The 23,138-nt window shown below is 42.6% G+C and overlaps 1 protein-coding gene across 53 annotated transcripts in view; it reads right to left on the reverse strand.

Annotated features, from left to right (window-relative positions):
* Positions 1-23,138, reverse strand: part of STK33 (serine/threonine kinase 33) — a 259,405-nt gene that overhangs the window by 47,779 nt on the left and 188,488 nt on the right. For 51 of the 53 annotated variants that reach the window (NM_001289059.2, XM_047427463.1, NM_001352399.2 and 48 more), the window contains one exon: positions 9,268-10,108. The exons of the other annotated variants lie outside the window; for them this stretch is intronic. In NM_001289059.2, the coding sequence (NP_001275988.1) occupies positions 9,908-10,108 (201 nt within the window). In that variant the 3' untranslated portion in view covers positions 9,268-9,907. Of the gene's footprint in view, positions 1-9,267; positions 10,109-23,138 lie in introns of those variants that run through there. 53 annotated transcript variants of the gene reach the window in all.

The following is a 23,138-nucleotide window of genomic DNA, read 5'->3' on the forward strand; positions in this document are numbered from 1 at the left end:
GCAGCTTACACAGACACAGACCACACCTGCGCTCACCCTGTTTGGAGGGTCCAGGACAGGTCCTGTGTGAGGTTGCCAAACCTCTCCTGTTTCCCACCGCCACCCCAGCAGGAGCTAAGCCACTAAGGCATCCTCTGGCAAGCAGGCCTGTAATTCGGTTTGTGCCTTCTTCCCTCCCCATATATCTCAGTGGATAATTAGCAAGACCGATACTTAAGGAAAATGAGTGTGTCTTCCTGGATAATCTCAGGGCTCTGTGACTCAGACCCAACCCCAGAGCGCTGACTCAACACACTCTCTGTTGCTCCCCACAGGCAACACACTGCAAAAAGCCTCTTTAGCAGTCACTGAAAGTCCACCACAAGGACACTGATAGGAAAATAACCATGCTTCAGGGACACATTGTCATTAAAGCCTGTCCTGGTAAACTCAAACTAGATTGTCCACGAATCCCTGTTAACAGGAACACAATGGACTGCAGTGACAGACGCACAGTGTTCCGAGGACTGGGGGTGACGGGCCACACTTGGAGGTCTGACTTCAATTTTGGAAAAAGACCCAGATGAACTAGAATGAAGGGCCTAGAAACATGTCACTAAGGAAGAGTCCAAGAGACATGGGGATGTTTAGCCTGAAGAAGGCACACAGGGCTGTGGGAATTACCTTCAAACCCAAGGGGCTGGATGTGGCAGCTGGAGAGGCCTTTAAAGAGCTCCAGAAGGGCCAGTGAGCAGCAGGTGTCAGATGATAGGAAGAATTTTCTCACACTTAGGTGTTTCCAGAGTGGAATTCATCTGCCTTGGGAGGTAGGGAGCCCCCAACCCCAGGAACGTGTCATCAGAGGTGGGAGCTCACTGGAGCTGGCTGTGGGTGCAGCTTCTGCACTGAGGAAGAGTTGGGCTGAAGGAACAGTTCAGACAGTCCAGGATTCTGCAAATATGGGTTTCAGCAAAATACCTGGCCCACCATTTTCTGATTTATTGCTAATGGAAGGCTATGGAATTATGATTTAGCTATTGAGGGCTTGTAAACTGTCACTATTCAGATTCAATTAATCAAGCGATAAGGAGATTTGGCCACATCTCCCAGGGATATTTCTCCGAATGGCATTTCATGTCATTCCACTCCATTCTCATCCTTCTTCTTGCCAAAATACAGTCACTGCCTAGTCCTTGAGTGAGGGAGACACACTTGCTGTGTGGACCAAGATGGTGCCTTGATACCAGGTCTCCCTGGATTCTGTGAGCCCTGTCAGGCACCCAGAAGCCTCTGCACACAGTTTCGCTATTAACTCTGGGTCTCTCTTCACATCCTTCTCCACCTTAGGGCTCTTTTCTCTCTATCCACCTTGATCTGCTCCAACCCTTAAATCCATCTCAAGTAGTCATCTCCACTTTGAGGTCTGATAGAGATCTCAAACTTCATACGATCAGCTAGATGTGGGCAGAAAGTTACCCAGGTGCCGAGGCAAGAGAGTGAAGGCACAAGCTGTTCCAATATAATAAAGAAAGTATTTAGAATAAGAAAAGTTATACTAGAAATAGGATATAGAGATGATCATATATGGATAATCATAATAATTAGTTTTTAGTATTAATCTGTTTTATTATTATAACCAAGGAATAACCAGCCAGTGCAGAGTCAGGAGCTGAAGGAACACTGTGAGAAGTGACCAGAAGACAAGAGTGTGAGCCCTCTGTCACGTCCGGATAAGGGCCGCTGGAGGGCACCATGGTCTTGCGGTAATGCCAGTGCCTGGGAAGGCGCTCATTACTTAGCAGACCGTGAAAGGGAAACTCCCTTTCTTTGGAGGAGTTAGAGAACACTCTGCTCCACCAGCCTCTTGCGGGAGGTCGGACATTAGCCAGGCCTGCCCACAGACATCCGGAGGCTTAAACGTCTCCTTGTGGTGCTGTGCTTCAGTGGTCACGCTCCTTGTTCACTTTTATGTTCCGCCTGTACACCTGGTCCTCCTTTTAACTTCCTAGAAGACAGCAGTAGCAGAAATAGTGAAAGTATTAAAGTGTTTGATCTCTCTGATAAGTGCGTAGAAAAAACGCTGACGTATGCTGTCCTCCCTGTCTGCTTCGGCGATCACAAAGGGATGGGCCCCTTGTCCTGTAAACACGTGACTTGCTTGACCTTATCAATCACTTGAGATGACTCACTCTCCTTACCCTGCCCCCTTGCCTTGTATACAATAAATAGCAGTGCGTCCAGCCATTTGGGGCCACTACCGGACTCCGCGCATTCATGGTAGTGGTCCCCTGGGCCCAGCTGTCTTTCATACTCTTAGTCTTGTCTCTTATTTTTCTACAATCTCTCGTCTCCACACATGAAGAGAACACCACTAGGCCCTGTAGGGCAGGACCCTACACTAGAACTCTTCATTCCACTGCCAGCCCAGGCCTGGCCTTCCCCAGGAAGCGACACCACCATCAATCTGGTTACTGAAGCCAAAGTCATCCCTGGCCTCCTCACCCATTCTTCTTCAACCATCACCTCTAATCCATCACTGAATCCTATCAATTTGATTTCCAAAACATATTTCATATCAATCCATTTCTCTCCATCTTCTCTGCCACCATCTTATTCAATGTCCTCTAACTAATCTCCCTGGTTCCACTTTTGTTCCACTTTGCATAATTCATTTACACAGAAGACAAACGGATCCTTTAAACACATAATCAGACGTCGAGCCCTCAATGGCTTCCCAGTGCATTTAGAATAAAAGGGTTTCTTCCTGTGGCCCCCTAAATCCTGCAGGACCTGACCCCTGTCTCTCCCCTTCCCTGATCATCCTGGCCTTTGGGCCAAGTCCTGGACTCCATCAAGCTCTTCCCCTGTTCCCTCTGCCTAAAACATCCCTCCCCGGCTCTTCCCACGGTTGGCTTCCTTAGAGAGGCTTTCCAGAGGGTTCCTATCCTGTAATCCTCTATGATAGCACTCTATATAGAAATGCCTTATCTCTAATCACAATATATAATTATTTTACGCATTTGTATAGATGGCCATCATCTGTCTCTGTGCCCCCATGGCTACAAGCTCCCTATGTTGGGCAATGGTTTTGACTGCCTTTCACATTGTTTTATATCCAGCGCCTATCAGTGCCTGGCACATGGTAGGTGGCCAACAACTATTTCTTGAATGAATGACTGAGTCTCTCAATCCAGTTCCTTTTTTTTTTTTTGAGATGGAGTCTCGCTCTTTTGCCCAGGCTGGAGTGCAGCGGCGCTATCTCCACTCACTGCAAGCTCCGCCTCCCGGGTTCACGCCATTCTCCTGCCTCAGCCTCCCGAGTAGCTGGGACTACAGGCACCCGCCACCACGCCCGGCTAATTTTTTGTATTTTTAGTAGAGACAGGGTTTCACCATGTTAGCCAGGATGGTCTCGATCTCTGACCTCGTGATCCACCCACCTTGGCCTCCCAAAGTGCTGGGATTACAGGCGTGAGCCACCGCGCCCGGCCAATCCAGTTCTTAATGAACATCTTTTGTACAACTCTGTCCATGCTGGTGCCACGGGGTCTGATGCTGGTCATCTTATACAGGAAAAGAAAAAGATTTTGGTGGTAGTCAGACTATTCCCCTCCAAGCAATCAGAATCACTGCAGGTAAGACATTTCTGCCAAGATTTCACACGGGCTGGGCTACACAGTAATGAAGCCTGGTCAGGGACTGCTATAAAAAAGTTGGTGAGCAGAAAGTTGATATGAAACTTAAGTGGCTAAATGACTATAGTCTCATGACTAATTTCTGTGCTGATGGGGGCAAGGGACTGAAGCTACAACCAGGTAATTACTTCTGGAAGAAAAACAACTCTTGTAAAAATTTATCCATTTGCATGGTTTTGGGTAGCTAGAAGCCTTTTCTTCCAAAGTTCCAAAACAGCAATGAGGATCCTGAATAAGAACTGCCTCTCTTCTCCTGGGACCAAGTGGCAGGCAGTGGCCTGGGAGGTGGGCAGCCAGGGGGAGGTGGCACCATCCCCCGCTGCTGGCTTAGGCCCAGAGCAGACGTCTCCCGTCCTGCACCACAGAATCCGCGGAGCCTATGGGAACATGGCTGCCCCCTGAACCAGGACGGTGTCAATGTGAAAGGGACAAAACGTCACTGCGCCTAACCGTCCTCTAAAGAAGTGAGCAATGGCAAAAGCTAGAGGAATGCAGGATGGGGAGGTGGACTCCACATCTGAACTCCACCTGCTCAGCGGCACAGCTGCTCACACCACCTGATGAAGGGATGTGGGAAATCGAAACATGATAGTGATTCTAACCCCCAGCTGCCCTGAGATGGGAATCACACTTTGCTCCTGGTAAGCATCGATCTGTCATGTCTGCACAGAAAGGACGGTCCCTGTGAATTCCTGAGGAAAGAACGGAGCCTCTTTTCTCTCTTCGGTTAAAAACATATTCAAAGGCTTCTAAAGACTGCTCCAGACAAAAGGACCAGTTAAAGCCTTGAGAACTTACTTTTATCACGCAAAGTCCTTCAGAATGCAGCTTTCCCTGATATAGTGCTTGAGTCTCGACCAAATTCGTCAACATGCAAAATAATTCCACTCCCTTCTGAAACCTCAAGCCCAAACTTGTCAAAATTATCACTCTAGGCTCCTGCTGGAGACAGAGGTGTTTGTGAGTTGCTCGGCCTTTTGAAACTCTGGGATCAAACTTCACGGTAGCTTAGGCCTAAAGAGTAGGGGAGCAAAAACACGAACATCTTGAGAGGCATATAGTACAACAGTGATACTTGAGCACACTGGCCAGGTTCCAGTTTACGTTCTGCTACTTCTTAGCTGTGTGACCTTGGACACAAGACCTTGGACATTAAGACCTTGGTTCTTAATCTCTCTGTGCCTTAATTCATTTCTCTGTAGAGATAATAATGGTATCAACTTCACAGGCCGTGGTAAGAATGGAAAGAACTGATACACGTAACGTGCTTAGAATGGTGTCTGGCATGTATAAGTGCTCTGTAACTGTTGCTGCTGTTACATCATGACTCTGAAAGGGGGTTTTAGTTAAAATGGATCCCATCCACTATTATAGCTCAAAGTCCAGCTTGCAAAAAGACTTTGATTCTAGTAACTAAGTGGAAGCCAGTGTTTGGACCAGGAAATATCAGCTGCCACCTCCCTGCAAGGGCATCTTCCTCAGGGTCCAGTGAGGGGGTCAGTTGCTCTCCATCTTCCACCCCACCCGCCCCACCCTTCAGTCACATGGGAATGCTGACTCCTCCAGCCTTGCAATTGCTCCTGGGGATGGAGACAACTTTTTGTGCTGACTGAGCTTTCCTAAAGAATAGCCTGGCTTCAGGATTTTGCCTACAGGGAGGTTTTGGTCCCCAAAGGGCAGGGAGACTTCTATGGCCCCTGTATCAATGCCCTGGTTATGGTGTGAAGATGCCACAGGATCTAGTTCGGAGAGGAACCAGCAGAAGCCTGGACGGAGACAGGGTCTGCACGGCGTCTCTAGTCCCATTCTCTGGGCCAGGACAGGACCTGATGCATGTTTGGAGGAGGAGGTCCAGGATCTGGCTAAGGTACCTGGGATGGCACTGGGCAACAGGGAAGGGGAGGTCCTGAGAGTGCCATGGTGACACTGCAAAAGTCCTATTAATCTTCCCAATGGGGCAGTGGTGGGAACCCCCACCACTCCTCTGAGGGCTGACCCAGATTATTCAGGGAAATATGGAGAACTGACCCAGCAAGCACAGAGTTGAGCTGATTATAGCAGGGACTGAAGAAGGCAGCCACAAGAAATGCAAGACAGCCGCAGATGCGGCCTCGCTTTGAAGAACAAAGGCAAAGAAAATTGGCTCACCAATGAGAATTAAGTGATAACAATGTACTGAACAGAAATCAAAATCGGTTCTCAGCCAGCTCACTCAGAAAAATGCAGGATCCTGAAGAGTACAACTGAACGATGTGAGACCTTTGAATAGTAAAAACTTTTACCTTAAAATGCTTTTGTAAAGTGATTTCAGTGCTTGTAGAGATGAAGCGAACACGAAGCCCAGGAGACGTCTTGTCTTCAGGTCTCCTGTGCTTCCTGGGCTCCACGGGGTCCCCTGGAAGCCCCTTCCCTGGTCTCTCATTGGCAGCAAGCAGCCAGTGTAGGGTGGCCTCCTCCCAGGTTCTGTTGGCTGTCACAGTGAAGTGTTGCATTCTTTAGGCTCCCAAACCTTGAGCCCAGACAATTTCAGATTTCAGGTTCGGTATCGGGCAACGCTCCAGGTATCCTGCCCTACCTGGGTCCCAACCTCAGGAACATCTCCCCACCAGCCCCTCCCCAACCCTTAGTGACCACCCAGGTGAATCTCTTTGTGTCAGGAAGAGCTCGTTTATCTTTTTTGCCCTTTACTGTACTTTGGTAGGAGACTGGCAGCCAGAGACAAAACTACCTTGGGTCAGGAACAATGCAGCACTGATAAGGAAAGGGTCTCCACCACTTGAGTTGCAGCCAAAGACAGGTGGTAAACTTAAATGCGGAAGCTGAGGATTTAACAGAGACTGTTCATAAAGGCACTGAGAGGGTTTGGGAAAACCCACAAAGGAAGACATAGTAGCCAGGGCAACAGGCTGGTCTTGGCCTGCAAGGGCAGGGGACACAGCTGTAAGAGGGCTGCCTGGCAGGAGCCACGCCCACCAAAGAAGGCAGCAAATGCCCAGCAGCCTGGCCCAGAGCAGGGAGGCACTCGGGAGTCAGCGTCTGGACCTGGCTCTCCCCTTCTCTCATCTCCCCTTGGTGCCTTCATTGACAGAATGCCAATGAATCCAGAAGCCCAGGGAGTGTGTTAATGCAGTACCTGAAGATCAGCCTCTCTGGGCAGAGACGGCAGAGCAGGCAGAGTGGTTCTGGAGGGGCAGATAGAAAATATCCAGCCCAGGGTCATTTCCCAGAGGCCACAGCTCCTTGGTCTCTAGCCAAGCACAGCCATTATAGGACGCAACTTCCCTGGCCAATTTCAAAGCTCTGCTTGCTGCTGGGAATGCATGTTTAAACAAAGCCTTTATTCTCTGTTCCAACAGCGCGGCTGGAATTTAAAAAGCTTCATTTTCAAGACTGGTTGCTTTTGATCTGTCTAACCTGGAACTTACATTTTGGAGTCAAATAGAATTATTTAAACAAAGCATTTCAGTGATAAGCACAAGATGTTTTGATTTTTTTTGGCTGGCCCCCACCCAACCCCCGCAGCACCACACAACATTCCTACTCAAAATGAAAGGACAACTTTGTGGCTGACTCTTAAAATCTCAGCTTCCATTTCCCTGGGTCTTCGTTTCCTCATCCTGTGCCTTTTTCTAGGTTTGCCTGTGTACGGGCCCTGGGAGGGGGCTAACTTTACCTCAGACTGGCCTGGAACAACCAAATATTCTATGAGCAGTGCTTCCCTCCTCTCGCTCCGGCTTCCGGCTTTGGCAGAACCATGTGTTGTCATCCTGTCTTCTTTATTAATTATAATTTATTTTCATTTTGCTCCACATATCCCCATTTTCCTTCCTTCTCTGATGTAAGGCCTTCTCTGATATCATCCTCTATTCTCCTCAAATGAATTTGTCCCCAGCTTGCCTGCATTCCTCTCTTTTTATCATATTTTGCCTGCCTTATCTGTCACTCAAGTTGGAATGCGGATCGCTACTTGAATTCCTTGAAAATAACACCTGCGCTGTGCTGTCCTAGACAGACTATGTCCCGCTGGATCACAGCAAAACCCAGCTCCCCATGCTATGGAGCACAGGAGGTGTCACAGTGTTTGTTATTGGTGCCTTCGAGTTGGCCTATCAGTCATTGAAAGTCAATCTGAAATGGAAGAGCGCCCTTTTTTCACAGCTGTGAAAGCAAATGGAGGAAGGAAGGCCATATATCCCCAGACCTTAAAGAGGCACATCTGTTGGAAACAAAGCTCAGACATGGCCTGGTCCAAGTGTGTTCTACACAACGAAGTAACAAAAATACCACTAAGTAACACAAAAATGATGTGGAAATTCTCTCTAGAAAGAGTGAGCTAAATTTCTATTAAAATGACTCCTACAAATCAAATGAACACCTCGATGGAGGGGCGTTAATAGAATGCATCATATGACAGGCAGGGTGGCTGGCCTTGCCTGGTGTGAGGTGGGAATAGGTGAAGACACACTAACGTGTTATAAAATGACTTCATCTTTTAGTTAGTGGTTAGTTCTGGACCTTTGCTCAAGCTTACTGAGCAGAATCGCTAATTTTTAGGGCCAAGAGAAGTGTGGATAGTACTCTATCTAACAATAGGATCTTCTAATCCCAAAAGAATATCACTGTGAAAGTAAGAGTATTTTTAATATACAGAATATTTCATTTTCAAGCCCAGGGAATAGGCAGAATCAAAGCCACCATCTTGGTTAGGCTTTTCTGCAAGGAGACAAGCAGCCACCGTGCACTAGGTCCCTGCTTCTCCCCGCCGGAGGTGACGGAACTGCAGTGCACACATCTGCCTTTGAGACTACTAGGGAAGGGAAGGCTCCACTTAGCTAATGAAGCCAGAGTTCTCATCAGGTGAACAGAACACGCCCTTTAAAGACTGGCTTACTAAACCCTGAGAGAAAGCTTAAAGCTCAGGATATGGTTTATGGGCTTATGATACGACTGGAACTAGACATCAAGAAGGGAGAAAGATCTTGAAGCAGCTATGTTAATGACAGTTTAAAATAAAATACAGACAATTTCCACTAGATATGCCTTGGCCAGCAGGTTCCCCCAAGGAAAGCACACTGAAGGTACTAAGAAAATACTGGCAGAACCACGTGGGGCAACACAGGCCAGTGCTATCTTTGACTCATTCGGAATCACAATAGTGTCTTCTAAACTAACTGCAAGAAGCACACGTACTATTTTTAGTTACCAAGTGGATTTAAATGCAACTAGTATATGCTCAGCTGGCCAGATGTGGGCCATTTTGGAGACCTGACAGTTCCATGGGGGGTTGGAATGGAACTAGGTTATGACTTTATGAAGGTAAAAGCAATTGCAAATTCTTTCTTTAGAATTTGCTTTGGAAGCAAAGGAAAGTAGCTATTCAACCAGTTTGACTTCAACTGGCAAAATTAGTTACCCAGGTGGAAAGGAGATGTCTATAAAGCTAAGAGAAATGAGGTATGGTCCCCTGTTTCTTGCTTCATGATCTTCCCCAAAGATGTGTGCCTACCATTGCAGCAGTAGAACAAACTTATAATTTGCATAAAGGCTTAGAGGACCTTATTATATTCACCTCTTGTTAACATAAAAATTAATGTGCTGAGTAACATCTGTTTTTTATTGATTTAATCAATACATTGGGAATTTAGCAGCAAGTTAATGGCAAGCAGTTACAAAATCTCCTATTTTTCTACATTTAAAATAAGCTGTCTTAAACAATCTATAGCAACCTAAAATCTCACGAACACATGTGAATGACTGAAGCACTTCTGCTGTAATACGTATGGCAAGTTTATTAGTAATTTTCTAACAAAGTCTTCTAGTGCAAAGTGCACATAATTATTTGGCACCTCCATTACTATATTTGGCCTCTTGTTTTCCCCTATAAATAGCTGTGCCTAAACATAAGAATTTGAAGTAAAAATGAGCAAGTGTGCCCACAGCCTTAAATTGAAGGTATCTGCCCCCCTAAAAAACCTTCGTGTACATCTTGAGTTGATTTCCACTGCAGCCCACTGCCAAGCCTACTGGTGGCTGTCCTTTAATGCCATGTGCAGCTTATGCTGCTTTGGAGATAAGCAGCTTCAATTTTAAGCTGGTGCAAACACATGGCGGGGCTCTGTGGAGCTAAAAGGCTACAAGCTCAGCATAGGGCTGTCTTCTTCCCCTCCTACCCCCTCATCAAAGTGCTAACAAGAGCAGCTTTGTTTTTGTACTGTCCAACACTGGAGGGAACCTTAGAGTTTCTTTTTGGTTCTGGACAGGGCGCCGGATTTAGCAGGGTACTTGGTTGCTGTTCCTTGGCTTGGAGTCACAGGGGTTTTCTCCATTTCTCCCTTGATTTCAGCTGGAAGGAGTTTGCTAGATGTGAAACTTGAACTGCACATATCAAAGTTGTCCTTACTGGTTGCAGGAAATTGCTTTTCATAAGCAGTAGACTGCAAATAAAAGGTCTTGATTAATTTTCAGACACAAAGCAATGCACATCAATTCAAAGATGCAAGGAACTACAAAGTTGTCCAGGATTTGCAAGTTGGAGCCCTCTCTAGATATAGGGTCCAAACTAGTCATATTGTAAAATTATTATTAAATGCCAAAAGATCCTTTTGCACCTTTAAGAAAACTGAATTGTTTCATGTTTGGTGTGGAGCAAACTCTACAGGCTCAATTTCGAAACCTCTGTCGTCCAAAATGTAAGTAAATGTCTGGTAACATTTGTGCAGGGAAGTCCGCTTAGACATAATTGTACTCACTTCATCTTTACAGATTTCTACACAAGCTCTGACATTTGTATGGATACCCTGATAAGTACAATATAATTATTCTTTCTAATCTGTGTATGAAGTGCTACATAAGGCCCACACTCACATCCCCACTATCTTCCCACATTAATTCCAGAGACTGGCTTCTAATCCCAGTCACACTACTCAGGCAGGCCTGTAGACCTCTTTGAGCCTCTCTATTCCTTGCCCTTAAGTGGAAGCAAATAATATTTGCACATTTGCCACAAGAGCTTACCATAAGAATGAAGAGAAAGGGTGGCCATGAAAGTACTATGTGAGCTTTAAAGTAGAAAACAAGCAGATGGAGTTTTAACAGGCAATTGTATTTTCTCAGGTCGCCTCATTCCACAGTAAAGGAAGAAGTGGTCTTGAATCCTGCTGTCATGAGGGAAGCAGGGTCTGTTTTGACGTTAGGCCCATTTTTAAAGTGATCACTTTTAATTAAGTGAAGCTGGAGCATAGAGTTCTAAAAGAGTAGAGATTGTCTCAGGAGACCCACAAAGCAGCACAGGGGCCCAGCCACTGGGGTAGAGATAGGGAAGCTCTGGTTTACAGAGAATGATCGAGGAAAGAGCTCACAGGTTTAATACTCTGGTTACCTGAAAGTCACAGCACACTTGGGTTAAAAATCAGGTTAACAATTTTCAAAGAGTGTGATAAGATGGTGTGTAACACAAAATAAATGCAGTGTTTCTTTGATCATTCAGGTTCTTGTGATGTAATGACCACGTTTAATATTCAGTAGTAGCACTTAATATATGTTTGCCTAGTGAATCCATGACTTTCCAGGGCTGCAATAAAACTCTGGGTCCTGTAAGACTTTTGGCACCTATATTTCAAGAAAGAAAATCCACCTGATGTTTGCTTGCTGAAGAAAGCCTTTAAAGTGTGCCTCTTCAGAACATCACTCGTGTCTGATTTTATAACCAGTATATGCTAATTCTTGAGCAGGTAACACTTAAAAATCATTTTGTACCTTAAAATTTTAATTTCTATAAAATTTGAAATGTAAAAAGGTCATTTTCTTTAGTTCTTTTCCCCCCTAAGCAAACTTCTGGGTTATTTCTGTGTGTTCTTTTAAGAGGTAGAAAATATTTAAAATTCTTTAGTATTCCCTCACATAGGTTGTATTTTTATCGAAAACTCCTTATGTTCAGTGATAAGGTGAGGATACAACACCCCTGATGTTAGAGCATCTGGCTGAGAACAAGTTGCTTTGTTTAGTACAGTGCTGGTCTCTAAGATATACACCCTATCTTTAAAATTTCAATTCATAAAATTTAATTACCTTTACATACAAATGCTATTAAAAGGTGAATCTAAGTGTAACCTTCTGTCTTTTGACATTTCTACTTGGATTTTGAGTTATCATCCAAGTTGTTGAGGAAGTAGTTTTCAACATGTCCACTACAACTAATATTCTATCGAGCAGGAATAAAGATTCATTTTCCTTTAATGTGCTTATATTCATATCTGGCTTAATGGTTCCATTCTTCTTTACTGCTTCATTTGTTAATGTAATTGAGTCATTATAGTAGTTTCAGGAGTTGCAGTCACCAGGAAGAAATACTCAGAAACAGTCTCTGTGAACAGAATTATTGATGTAGAATATTTTTCTTTTTCCCAAAAACGCTACAGATGCTGGTATTTTCTTCTTGGATACAATATCTTGAGATCATTATTAAAGTCTTCTGGCAAAGTGGAAGGAAAAAGAAAACTAAACAATGTTTAGTTGCTTTGGTGTAGAAATATGATATTTCTGTTTTATTTTGTAGTAAGATAAGAAAATGATTTTCCTCAGCCAAATTTTTTTGTAATTTTAGTTATTTATTTCTTAAATAGATAGTACATCCCCATGATTAAATATTCACAATGTTCAAAATCTCCTCCTTACCCCCTAGTTAACTGAGCTCTGCCCCCAAAGACAACCAATATTGTCAATTTATAGTGTACAATTTCAGAGAGATTTTATGCATCTTCAAGCAAATATTAGGTGGAACCAAATGGATGTGGTTGTCATTCCACTGTCATTTCCATTGGTTGCAGGTCAAAAACAGTCTAATAATGGCAATTTCCTATGGTTCAATCTAATTCATTGATGCGGTTTGGCTGTGTCCCCACCCAAGTCTTATCTTGAATTGTAGCTCCCATAATTCCGTGTTGTGGGAGGGACCCAGTGGGAGGTAATTGAATCACAGGGGCAGGTTTTTCCTGTGCTGTTCTCATGACAATGAATAAGTCTCACGAAATCTGATGGTTTTATAAAGGGCAGTTCCCCTGCACACATTCTCTTGCCTGCTGCCACCTAAGGCGTATCTTTGCTCCTCCTTTGCCTTCCACCATGATTGTGAGGCTTCCCCAGCCATGTGGAACTGTGAGTCCATTAAACCTCTTTTTCTTTATAAATTACCCAGTATGTCTTTATTAGCAGTATGAGAACAGACAAATACATTCATCTACTGACATGCTTTCTTCCTGCTTTTTATACAAATAGTAGCCAACTATAAACACTCTTTTACACCTTGACTTTTTTCAACTAATGATTATCTTGAAGATCATTCCATGTCAATTCATAGAAAGAAAAAATCCTCATTCTTTTTTCTGGCTATGCAATATTCTCTTGTTTAGAAGTACCATAATTTATTTAACCAGTCTCTTCACAATGAACACTCAGGTTTGTTTCCAATCTTTTGCAAGCACATTTTGCACATGACATTTTGCACGTTCGTAAGTTTTTCTACAGGATATATATTTTAGAAGAGAAATTCTTCGGATAAATGGTATATGGATTTGTAATTTTGAAAGATATCATCATGTTGCCTTCCACTGCAGTTGTACTGATGTATAATCTTACCAGTAGCATACAAGAGTGCCTGTTTTCTTATTTTTCAACTTGGTTTTAATACATGTTAAAACTAATACAGTCATCCATATTTTAATTGAGCTCCAAAATCAGCCTAACGCTGGCTACCCCGAAACAAATCACAGTATTTGCTCCTTCACTCCCTGGTAACATCAATTCAAATCTACTTACCTTTCTTTATGCAAATATATATATATTTTTTGAGGTGGAGTTTTGCTCTTATCGCCCAAGCTGGACTGCAATGACACAATCTAGGCTCACTGCAACCTCCGCCTCCCGGGTTCAAGTGATTCTCCTACCTCAGCCTCCCGAGTAGTTGGGATTGCAGGTACACACCACCACACCCAGCTAATTTTTGTATTTTTAGTAGAAGCAGGGTTTCACCATGTTGGCCAGGATGATCTCAATATGCAAATGTTTATGCTTCTGTGTATATGGGTTTGTCTTGTAAAATACTGTATGTGTATGGGTACCTTACCATTTCTCTCTTTACTAAATTCCAGTTGCATGAAGTTTAGGATGGCATTGTTCAGAAAGCAGAATCCTAAAAGTTTTTCTAAAAGAATCTGAGACTCAGTGGAGCCAAGATGGCCAAATAGGAACAGCTCCAGTCTACAGCTCCCAGCGTGAGTGACGCAGAAGATGGGTGATTTCTGCATTTCCAACTGAGGTACCAGGTTCATCTCACTGGGGAGTGTTGGACAGTGGGTGCAGCGCACCGAACGTGAGCCGAAGCAGGGTGAGGCATCATCTCACCCGGGAAGCGCAAGGGGTCAGGGAATTCCCTTTCCTAGTCAAAGAAAGGGGTGACAGATGGCACTTGGAAAATCGGGTCACTCCCACACTAATACTGTGCTTTTCCAATGGTCTTAGCAAACAGCACACCAGGAGATTATATCCCGTGCCTGGCTCAGAGGGTCCTACACCCATGGAGCCTCGCTCATTGCTAGCACAGCAGTCTGAGATCAAACTGCAAGGCTGCAACGAGGCTGGGAGAGGGGCGCCCGCCATTGCCGAGGCTTGAGTAGGTAAACAAAGTGGCCAGGAAGCTCGAACTGGGTGGAGCCCACCGCAGCTCAAGGAGGCCTGCCTGCCTCTGTAGACTCCACCTCTGGGGGCAGGGCACAGACAAACAAAAGGCAGCAGAATCCTCTGCAGACTTAAATGTCCCTGTCTGACAGCCTTGAAAAGAGTAGTAGTTCTCCCAGCACGCAGCTGGACATCTGAGAATGGACAGACTGCCTCCTCAAGTGGGTCCCTGACCCCTGAGTAGCCTAACTGGGAGGCACCCCCAAGTAGGGGCAGACTGACACCTCACACGGTCGGGTACTCCTCGGAGACAAAACTTCCAGAGGAATGATCAGGCAGCAACATTTGCTGTTCACCAATATCCGCTGTTCTGCAGCCTCCGCTGCTGACACCCAGGCAAACAGGGTCTGGAGTGGACCTCCAGCAAACTCCAACAGACCTGCAGGTGAGGGTCCTGACTGTTAGAATAAAAACTAACAAACAGAAAGGACATCCACACCAAAACCCCATCTGTACATCACCATCATCAAAGACCAAAGGTAGATAAAACCACAAAGATGGGGAAAAACCAGAGCAGAAAAACTGGAAACTCTAAAAATCGGAGCACCTCTCCTCCTCCAAAGGAATACAGCTTCTCACCAGCAGCAGAACAAAGCTGGACGGAGAATGACTTTGACGAGTTGAGAAAGAAGGCTTTAGATGATCAAACTACTCCGAGCTAAAGGAGGAAGTCTGAACCCATGGCAAAGAAGTTAAAAACCTTGAAAAAAAAATAGACAAATGGCAAACTAGGATAACCAATGCACAGAAGTCGTTAAAGGACCTGATGGAGCTGAAAACCATGGCATGAGAACTACATGACAAATGCATAAGCCTCAGTAGCCGATTCGATCAACTGGAAGAAACAGTATCAGTGATGGAAGACCAAATGAATGAAATGAAGCAAGAAGAGAAGTTTAGAGAAAAAAGAATAAAAAGAAACGAACAAAGCCTCCAAGAAATATGGGACCATGTGAAAAGACCAAGTCTACGTCTGATTGGTGCACCTGAAAGTGATGGGGAGAATGGAACCAAGTTGGAAAACACTCTGCACGATATTATCCAGGAGAACTTCCCCAATCTAGCAAGGCAGGCCAACATTCAAATTCAGGAAATACAGAGAATGCCACAAAGATACTCCTCGAGAAGAGCAACTCCAAGACACATAATTGTCAGATTCACCAAAGTTGAAATGAAGGAAAAAATGTTAAGGGCAGCCAGAGGGAAAGGTCGGGTTACCCACAAGGTGAAGCCCATCAGACTAACAGCTGATCTCTCAGCAGAAACTCTACAAGCCAGAAGACAGTGGGGGCCAATATTCAACATTCTTAAAGCAAAGAATTTTCAACCCACAATTTCATATCCAGCCAAACTAAGTTTCATAAGTGAAAGAGAAATAAAATCCTTCACAGACAAGCAAATGCTGAGAGATTTTGTCACCACCAGGCCTGCCCTAAAAGAGCTCCCGAAGGAAGCACTAAACATGGAAAGGAACAAAAGGTTCCAGCCAATGCAAAAACATGCCAAATTGTAAAGACCATCAAGGCTAGGAAGAAACTGCATCAACTAACGAGCAAAATAACCAGCTAATATCATAATGACAGGATCAAATTCAGACGTAACAATATTAACCTTAAAGGTAAATAGGCTAAATGCTCCAATTAAAAGACACAGACTGGCAAATTGGATAAAGAGTCAAGATCCATCAGTGTGCTGTATTCAGGAAACTCATCTCACGTGCAGAGACACACATAGGCTCAAAATAAAGGGATGGAGGAAGATCTACCAAGCAAATGGAAAACAAAAAAAAAAAAAGCAGGGGTTGCAATCCTAGTCTCTGATAAAACAGACTTTAAACCAACAAAGATCAAAAGAGACAAAGAAGGCCATTACTTAATGGTAAAGGGATCAATTCAACAAGAAGAGCTAACTGTCCTAAATATATATGCACCCAATACAGGAGCACCCAGATTCATAAAGCAAGTCCTTAGAGACCTACAAAGAGACTTAGACTCCAACACAATAATAATGGGAGACTTTAACACCCCACTGTCAACATTAGACAGATCAACGAGACAGAAAGTTAAAAAGGATATCCAGGAATTGAACTCAGCTCTGCACCAAGTGGACCTAATAGACTTCTACAGAACTTTCCACCCCAAATCAACAGACTATACATTCTTTTCAGCACCACACCACACCTATTCCAAAATTGACCCCGTAGTTGGAAGTAAAGCACTCCTCAGCAAATGTAAAAGAAAAGAAATTATAACAAACTGTCTCTCAGACAACAGAGCAATCAAACTAGAACTCAGGATTAAGAAACTCACTCAAAACCGCTCAACTACATGGAAACTGAACAACCTGCTCCTGAATGACTACTGGGTACATAACGAAATGAAGGCAGAAATAAAGATGTTCTTTGAAACCAATGAGAACAAAGACACAATATACCAGAATCTCTGGGACGCATTCAAAGCAGTGTGTAGAAGGAAATTTATAGCACTAAATGTCCACAAGAGAAAGCAGGAAAGATCTAAAACTGACACCCTAACATCACAATTAAAAGAACTAGAGAAGCAAGAGCAAACACATTCAAAAGCTAGCAGAAGGCAAGAAATAACTAAGATCAGAGCAGAACTGAAGGAAAAAGATACACAAAAAAACCCTTCAAAAAATCAATGAATCCAGGAGCTGGTTTTTTGAAAAGATCAACAAAATTGATAGACCACTAGCAAGACTAATAAAGAAGAAAAGAGAGAAGAATCAAATAGATGCAACAAAAAATGATAAAGGGGATATCACCACCGATCCCACAGAAATACAAACTACCATCAGAGAATACTATAAACACCTCTATGCAAATAAACTAGAAAATCTAGATGAAATGGATAAATTCCTCAACACATACACTCTCCCAAGACTAAACCAGGAAGAAGTTGAATCTCTCAATAGACCAATAACAGGCTCTGAAATTGAGGCAATAATTAATAGCTTACCAACCAAAAAAAGTCCAGGACCAGATGGATTCACAGCCAAATTCTACCAGAGGTACAAAGAGGAGCTGGTACCATTCCTTCTGAAACTATTCCAATCAATAGAAAAAGAGGGAATCCTCCCTAGCTCATTTGATGAGGCCAGCATCATCCTGATACCAAAGCCTGGCAGAGACACAACAAAAAAAGAGAATTTTAGACCAATATCCCTGATAAACATTGATGCAAAAATCCTCAATAAAATACTGGCAAACAGAATCCAGCAGCACATCAAAAAGCTTATCCACCATGATCAAGCCGGCTTCATCCCTGGGATGCAAGGCTGGTTCAACATACGCAAATCAATAAACGTAATCCAGCATATAAACAGAACCAATGACAAAAACCATATGATTATCTCAATAGATGCAGAAAAGGCCTTTGACAAAATTCAACAATGCTTCATGCTAAAAACTCTCAATAAATTAGGTATTGATGGGACGTATCTCAAAATAATAAGAGCTATCTATGACAAACCCACAGCCAATATCATAATGAATGGGCAAAAACTGGAAGCATTCCCTTTGAAAACTGGCACAAGACAGGGATGCCCTCTCTCACCACTCCTATTTAACATAGTGTTGGAAGTTCTGGCCAGGGCAATCAGGCAGGAGAAGGAAATAAAGGGTATTCAATTAGGAAAAGAGGAAGTCAAATTGTCCCTGTTTGCAGATGACATGATTGTATATCTAGAAAACCCCATTATCTCAGCCCAAAATCTCCTTAAGCTGATAGGCAACTTCAGCAAAGTCTCAGGATACAAAATCAATGTGCAAAAATCACAAACATTCCTATACACCAATAACAGACAAACAGAGAGCCAAATCATGAGTGAACTCCCATTCACAATTGCTTCAGATAATAAAATACCTAGGAATCCAACTTACAAGGGATGTGAAGGACCTCTTCAAGGAGAACTACAAACCACTGCTCAATGAAATAAAAGAGGATACAAAGAAATGGAAGAACATTCCATGCTCATGGGTAGGAAGAATCAATATCGTGAAAATGGCCATACTACCCAAGGTAATTTATACATTCAATGCCATACCCATCAAGCTACCAATGACTTTCTTCACAGAATTGGAAAAAACTGCTTTAAAGTTAATATGGAACCAAAAAAGAGCCCACATTGCCAAGTCAATCCTAAGCCAAAAGAACAAAGCTGGAGGCATCACGCTACCTGACTTCAAACTATACAACAAGGCTACAGTAACCAAAACAGCATGGTACTGGTACCAAAACAGAGATATAGACCAATGGAACAGAACAGAGCCCTCAGAAATAATGCTGCATATCTACAACCATCTGATCTTTGACAAACCTGACAAAAACAAGAAATAGGGAAACGATTCCCTATTTAATAAATGGTGCTGGGAAAACTGGTTAGCCATATGTAGAAAGCTGAAACTGGATCCCTTCCTTACACCTCATATAAAAATTAATTCAAGATGGATTAAAGACTTAAATGTTAAGACCTAAAACCATAAAAACCCTAGAAGAAAACCTAGGCAATACCATTCAGGACATAGGCATGGGCAAGGACTTCATGTCTAAAACACCAAAAGCAATGGCAACAAAAGTCAAAATTGACAAATGGGATCTAATTAAACTAAAGAGCTTCTGCATAGCAAAAGAAACTACCATCAGAGTGAACAGGCAACCTACAGAATGGGAGAAAATTTTTGCAATCTACTCATCTGACAAAGGGCTAATATCCAGAATCTATAATGAATTCAAACAAATTTACAAGAAAAAACAACCCCATCAAAAAGTGGGCAAAGGATATGAACGGACACTTCTCAAAAGAAGACATTTACGCAGCCAAAAGACACGTGAAAAAATGCTCATCATCACTGGCCATCAGAGAAATGCAAATCAAAACCACAATGAGATACCATCTCACACCAGTTAGAATGGCGATCATTAAAAAGTCAGGAAACAACAGGTGCTGGAGAAGATGTGGAGAAATAGGAACACTTTTACACTGTTGGTGGGACTGTAAACTAGTTCAACCATTGTGGAAGTCAGTGTGGCGATTCCTCAGGGATCTAGAATTAGAATTACCATTTGACCCAGCAATCCCATTACTTGGTATATACCCAAAGGATTATAAATCATGCTGCTATAAAGACACATGCACACGTATGTTTATTGCGGCACTATTCACAATAGCAAAGACTTGGAACCAACCCAAATGTCCAACAATGATAGACTGGATTAAGAAAATGAGGCACATATACACCATGGAATACTATGCAGCCATAAAAATGATGAGTTCATGTCCTTTGTAGGGACATGGATGAAGCTGGAAACCATCATTCTCAGCAAACTATCACAAGGACAAAAAACCAAACACCACGTGTTCTCACTCATAGGTGGGAATTGAACAATGAGAACAGATGGACACAGGAAGGGGAACATCACACACCGGGGCCTGTTGTGGGGTGGGGGCAGCGAGGAGGGATAGCATTAGGAGATACACCTAATGTTAAATGATGAGTTAATGGGTGCAGCACACCAACATGGCACATGTATACATATGTAACAAACCTGCATGTTGTGCACATGTACCCTAAAACTTAAATTATAATAATAAAAAAAAGAATCTGAGACTCCCCTCAAATATCTTTCATTGAAACCATTCCTCTGATGCTAACAGGACACGGATGCTGAATGGCCACCATGGTGCCCTCCAGGCCAGGCCATAGTTTTCTTCACAAAGAGCCAAGCCTCTTAGTTCCTGGAGTGGGCAAGGCAAATTCCAGCTTCCAAGCTTTATCTAGAAACATGAACAAATCTTAATTTTTCAGGGCTTTATTTTGTTAGGTTATAGATTATCTAAGTTTTGCGTTTCTCCTTTTCTTCTCTCATAGCTGGAGGGATTCCTCAGGGATCTATGCTGTCACTGATGCAATTTTATAGTTTTGTAAGTAATAGAACAGAGAAATGAAAAATGAAATTGCCAAGGCTATAAGATCTTCCAGGTCAGGAAAAGCAAATAGAAGGTGATGAGCTCCCGTAAGACTGTACAAAGGGGGAGAAAGATAACAGAGGAATTTCAACACTTAGTTCTAAGGGGAAAGATTGTAAATGATCATTATGAGACTGTTGGGCATATATTTACCAACCCAAGAGAAGACCTCAAAATCACTGTAGGCTGTTCTTTGAAGATACTAGTCTATGTACCATTGCACACTGGTCAGAAAAACCTAGCTATCATCAGAAAGCATTTTAGAAATCAAAGAAAAAAATTTCTATCCTTATATAAAATCATGATGAATTCGTACCTGAAACACTGCAACCAGCTTGAACAGATATAAAGGGACCAGAGAATGTTTACAGACAGGCTACTAATATGATTAAGGGATGAAGGTTTCTTTTTAAGAGAGCTCTTCAATCTAAAAGGTAAAGAATAAGAGGCTATATATAATCAAAATCTATAAAATGAAGAAGGAGGCATATTTCAGCACTGTGGAGGTGGACAGCATCTCTGAGTGCTGCATTCAGGACGGTTACATCAAGGGCTGCCTCAAGCAGCATTTCAATTGTTCTTCATCTCTGGCAAATTCTTACCATTTGGGACAGTTGAAGAATAGTCAGTTCTATTGGAGGCAGAATGATGGAAAAGATGACCTTACAAGCCTTCCTCCAGTTTCACCTTTTTGTAATTCAGTACCCTTGGCCTAATTTCTCTAGCTTATATTATTAATCTTGAAAAGGGGGCTCCATGTGTGCAAGGGGAGATATGTAACAGGAAAACTGGACTAACTATACATATTTCCTTATTCACTGGCATAGCTTTAACCTGATGAACTTGTCTGGTGATAATGGATGCAAAACCTGTAAGCTCTAGGCATATCCCTGCCAGTTAATACCAGTGCATGATTACTAGAAACTGTTAGCATTTCTCTGAATTTTGAGTAAAATACATGCTATTTAAGTAAAGTGGTTTATCACCATAGCAACAATTTCTAGAGTCACACATTCAAATTATAGGCCTGCACAAGGTCCAAATGACAAAATTCTGATATAAGTTTAATGCTATAGTTTTGTGTGTAATGGCTACCCACCTTCCTCACATCCCTATGGTTTTCAGAAGAAGGAAGGGAAAGAAAAGCTAAGGGAAGAAGAAAAATTGACTTCCAAATATATAGACTTCTAAGGTTACTTGCATAAAGATCTGGGTCTTGTGTGGAGTCAACAGAAATGAAATCTAACTTGCAAATTAGAGAAAAATATAAATATCTTTCTTTTCTTTGTAACTGAGGTATAATCTATATACAGAATACACATATCTGAAGTGTACAGTTTGATGAGTTTTGACAAACACTTAGGCCTGTATAACCAACACCACAATCAGGAAATAGAACAATTACCAAGAAAGTTCTCTCTTGCCACAACCCAGTCAACCCTCTTCTCCTGGGGGCCACAACTATTCTGATTTTTTCAACATAAATTAGCTTTGCCTTTTCTAAACTTCATATACATGAAAAAGAATGCATTATGTACTCTTTTATATCTGAGTTATTCTGCTTAACATTTTTAATTGAATTTTTATTCAGATATTCGTAGATTCTCATGCTATTGAGACATAGGTTTTTGAGATTCATCTATGTAATAGTAACTCATTTCTTTTTTCTTGCCAAGTAATGCTCCATTGTATGGATGTACCACAATTTGTTTACTCATTCTTCTGTTAATGAATATTTGGGATGTTTCCAGTTTGGGGCTGCTTATACATAAATCCGCTACAAACATATACTACAAATCTTTTTGTGAACTTGGGATTGCTGGATAAATGGTAAATGAATGCTTAACCTTAAAAGTAAATGCCAGCCAGGCGCGGTGGCTCACGCCTGTAATCCCAGCACTTTGGGAGGCCAAGGTAGGCGGATCGCGAGGTCAGGAGATAGAGACCATCCTGACTAACACAGTAAAACCCCATCTCTATTAAAAATACAAAAAATTAGCTGGGTGTGGTGGCACACCTGTAGTCCCAGCTACCCAGGAGGCTGAGGCAGGAATTGCTTGAACCCAGGAAGCGGAGGTTGCAGTGAGCTGAGATTGCGCCATTGCAATCCAGCCTGGGTGACAGAGCAAGACTCCATCACACACATAAAAAAAAGTAAATGCCAAACTATATTCTGAAAGAATAGTACCATTTTGCATTCCCACCAGCAAGGTGGGAAAATTCCAGTTGTTTCATATCCTTGCCAATATCTGGACTTGTTAGTTTTTAATTTTGGCCGTTCTAGAAAGTATGTAGTGATATCCTGTGGTGGACTTAATTTCCATTTTCCTGATGACTAATGATGTTTAGCATCTTTTCATATGCTTATTGACTACTTGTATATCTTCCTATGTGAAGTGTCTGTTCAAGTCTACTGACTATTTTAAAACATGGATTGCCTTATTGCAATGTAGGAGTTGTTTATATATTCTGCATGCAAGTCTTCTGTCATATATATTTATTGCAAATATTTTCTCCCTGTCTGTGGCTTATTTTTTAACATGCTTTTGATGAGCAAATGTGTTTTATTTTTAGGAATCATTTTACCAGTTTTTAAAAGTGCTTTCTGTGTCTATGTTCTAAGAATCTTTGACTATCTGCTGGATGGAAGATAGTCTCTTATGTTTTATCCTAGGAGCTTTACAGTTTCGCTTTTAGATTTAGTTCTACCCTTCTCAAACTAATTTTTGTGTACAGTTTTAGCTA

The sequence above is a fragment of the Homo sapiens genome, chromosome 11, assembly GCF_000001405.40.
Source record: "Homo sapiens chromosome 11, GRCh38.p14 Primary Assembly".
Taxonomy (NCBI): domain Eukaryota; kingdom Metazoa; phylum Chordata; class Mammalia; order Primates; family Hominidae; genus Homo; species Homo sapiens.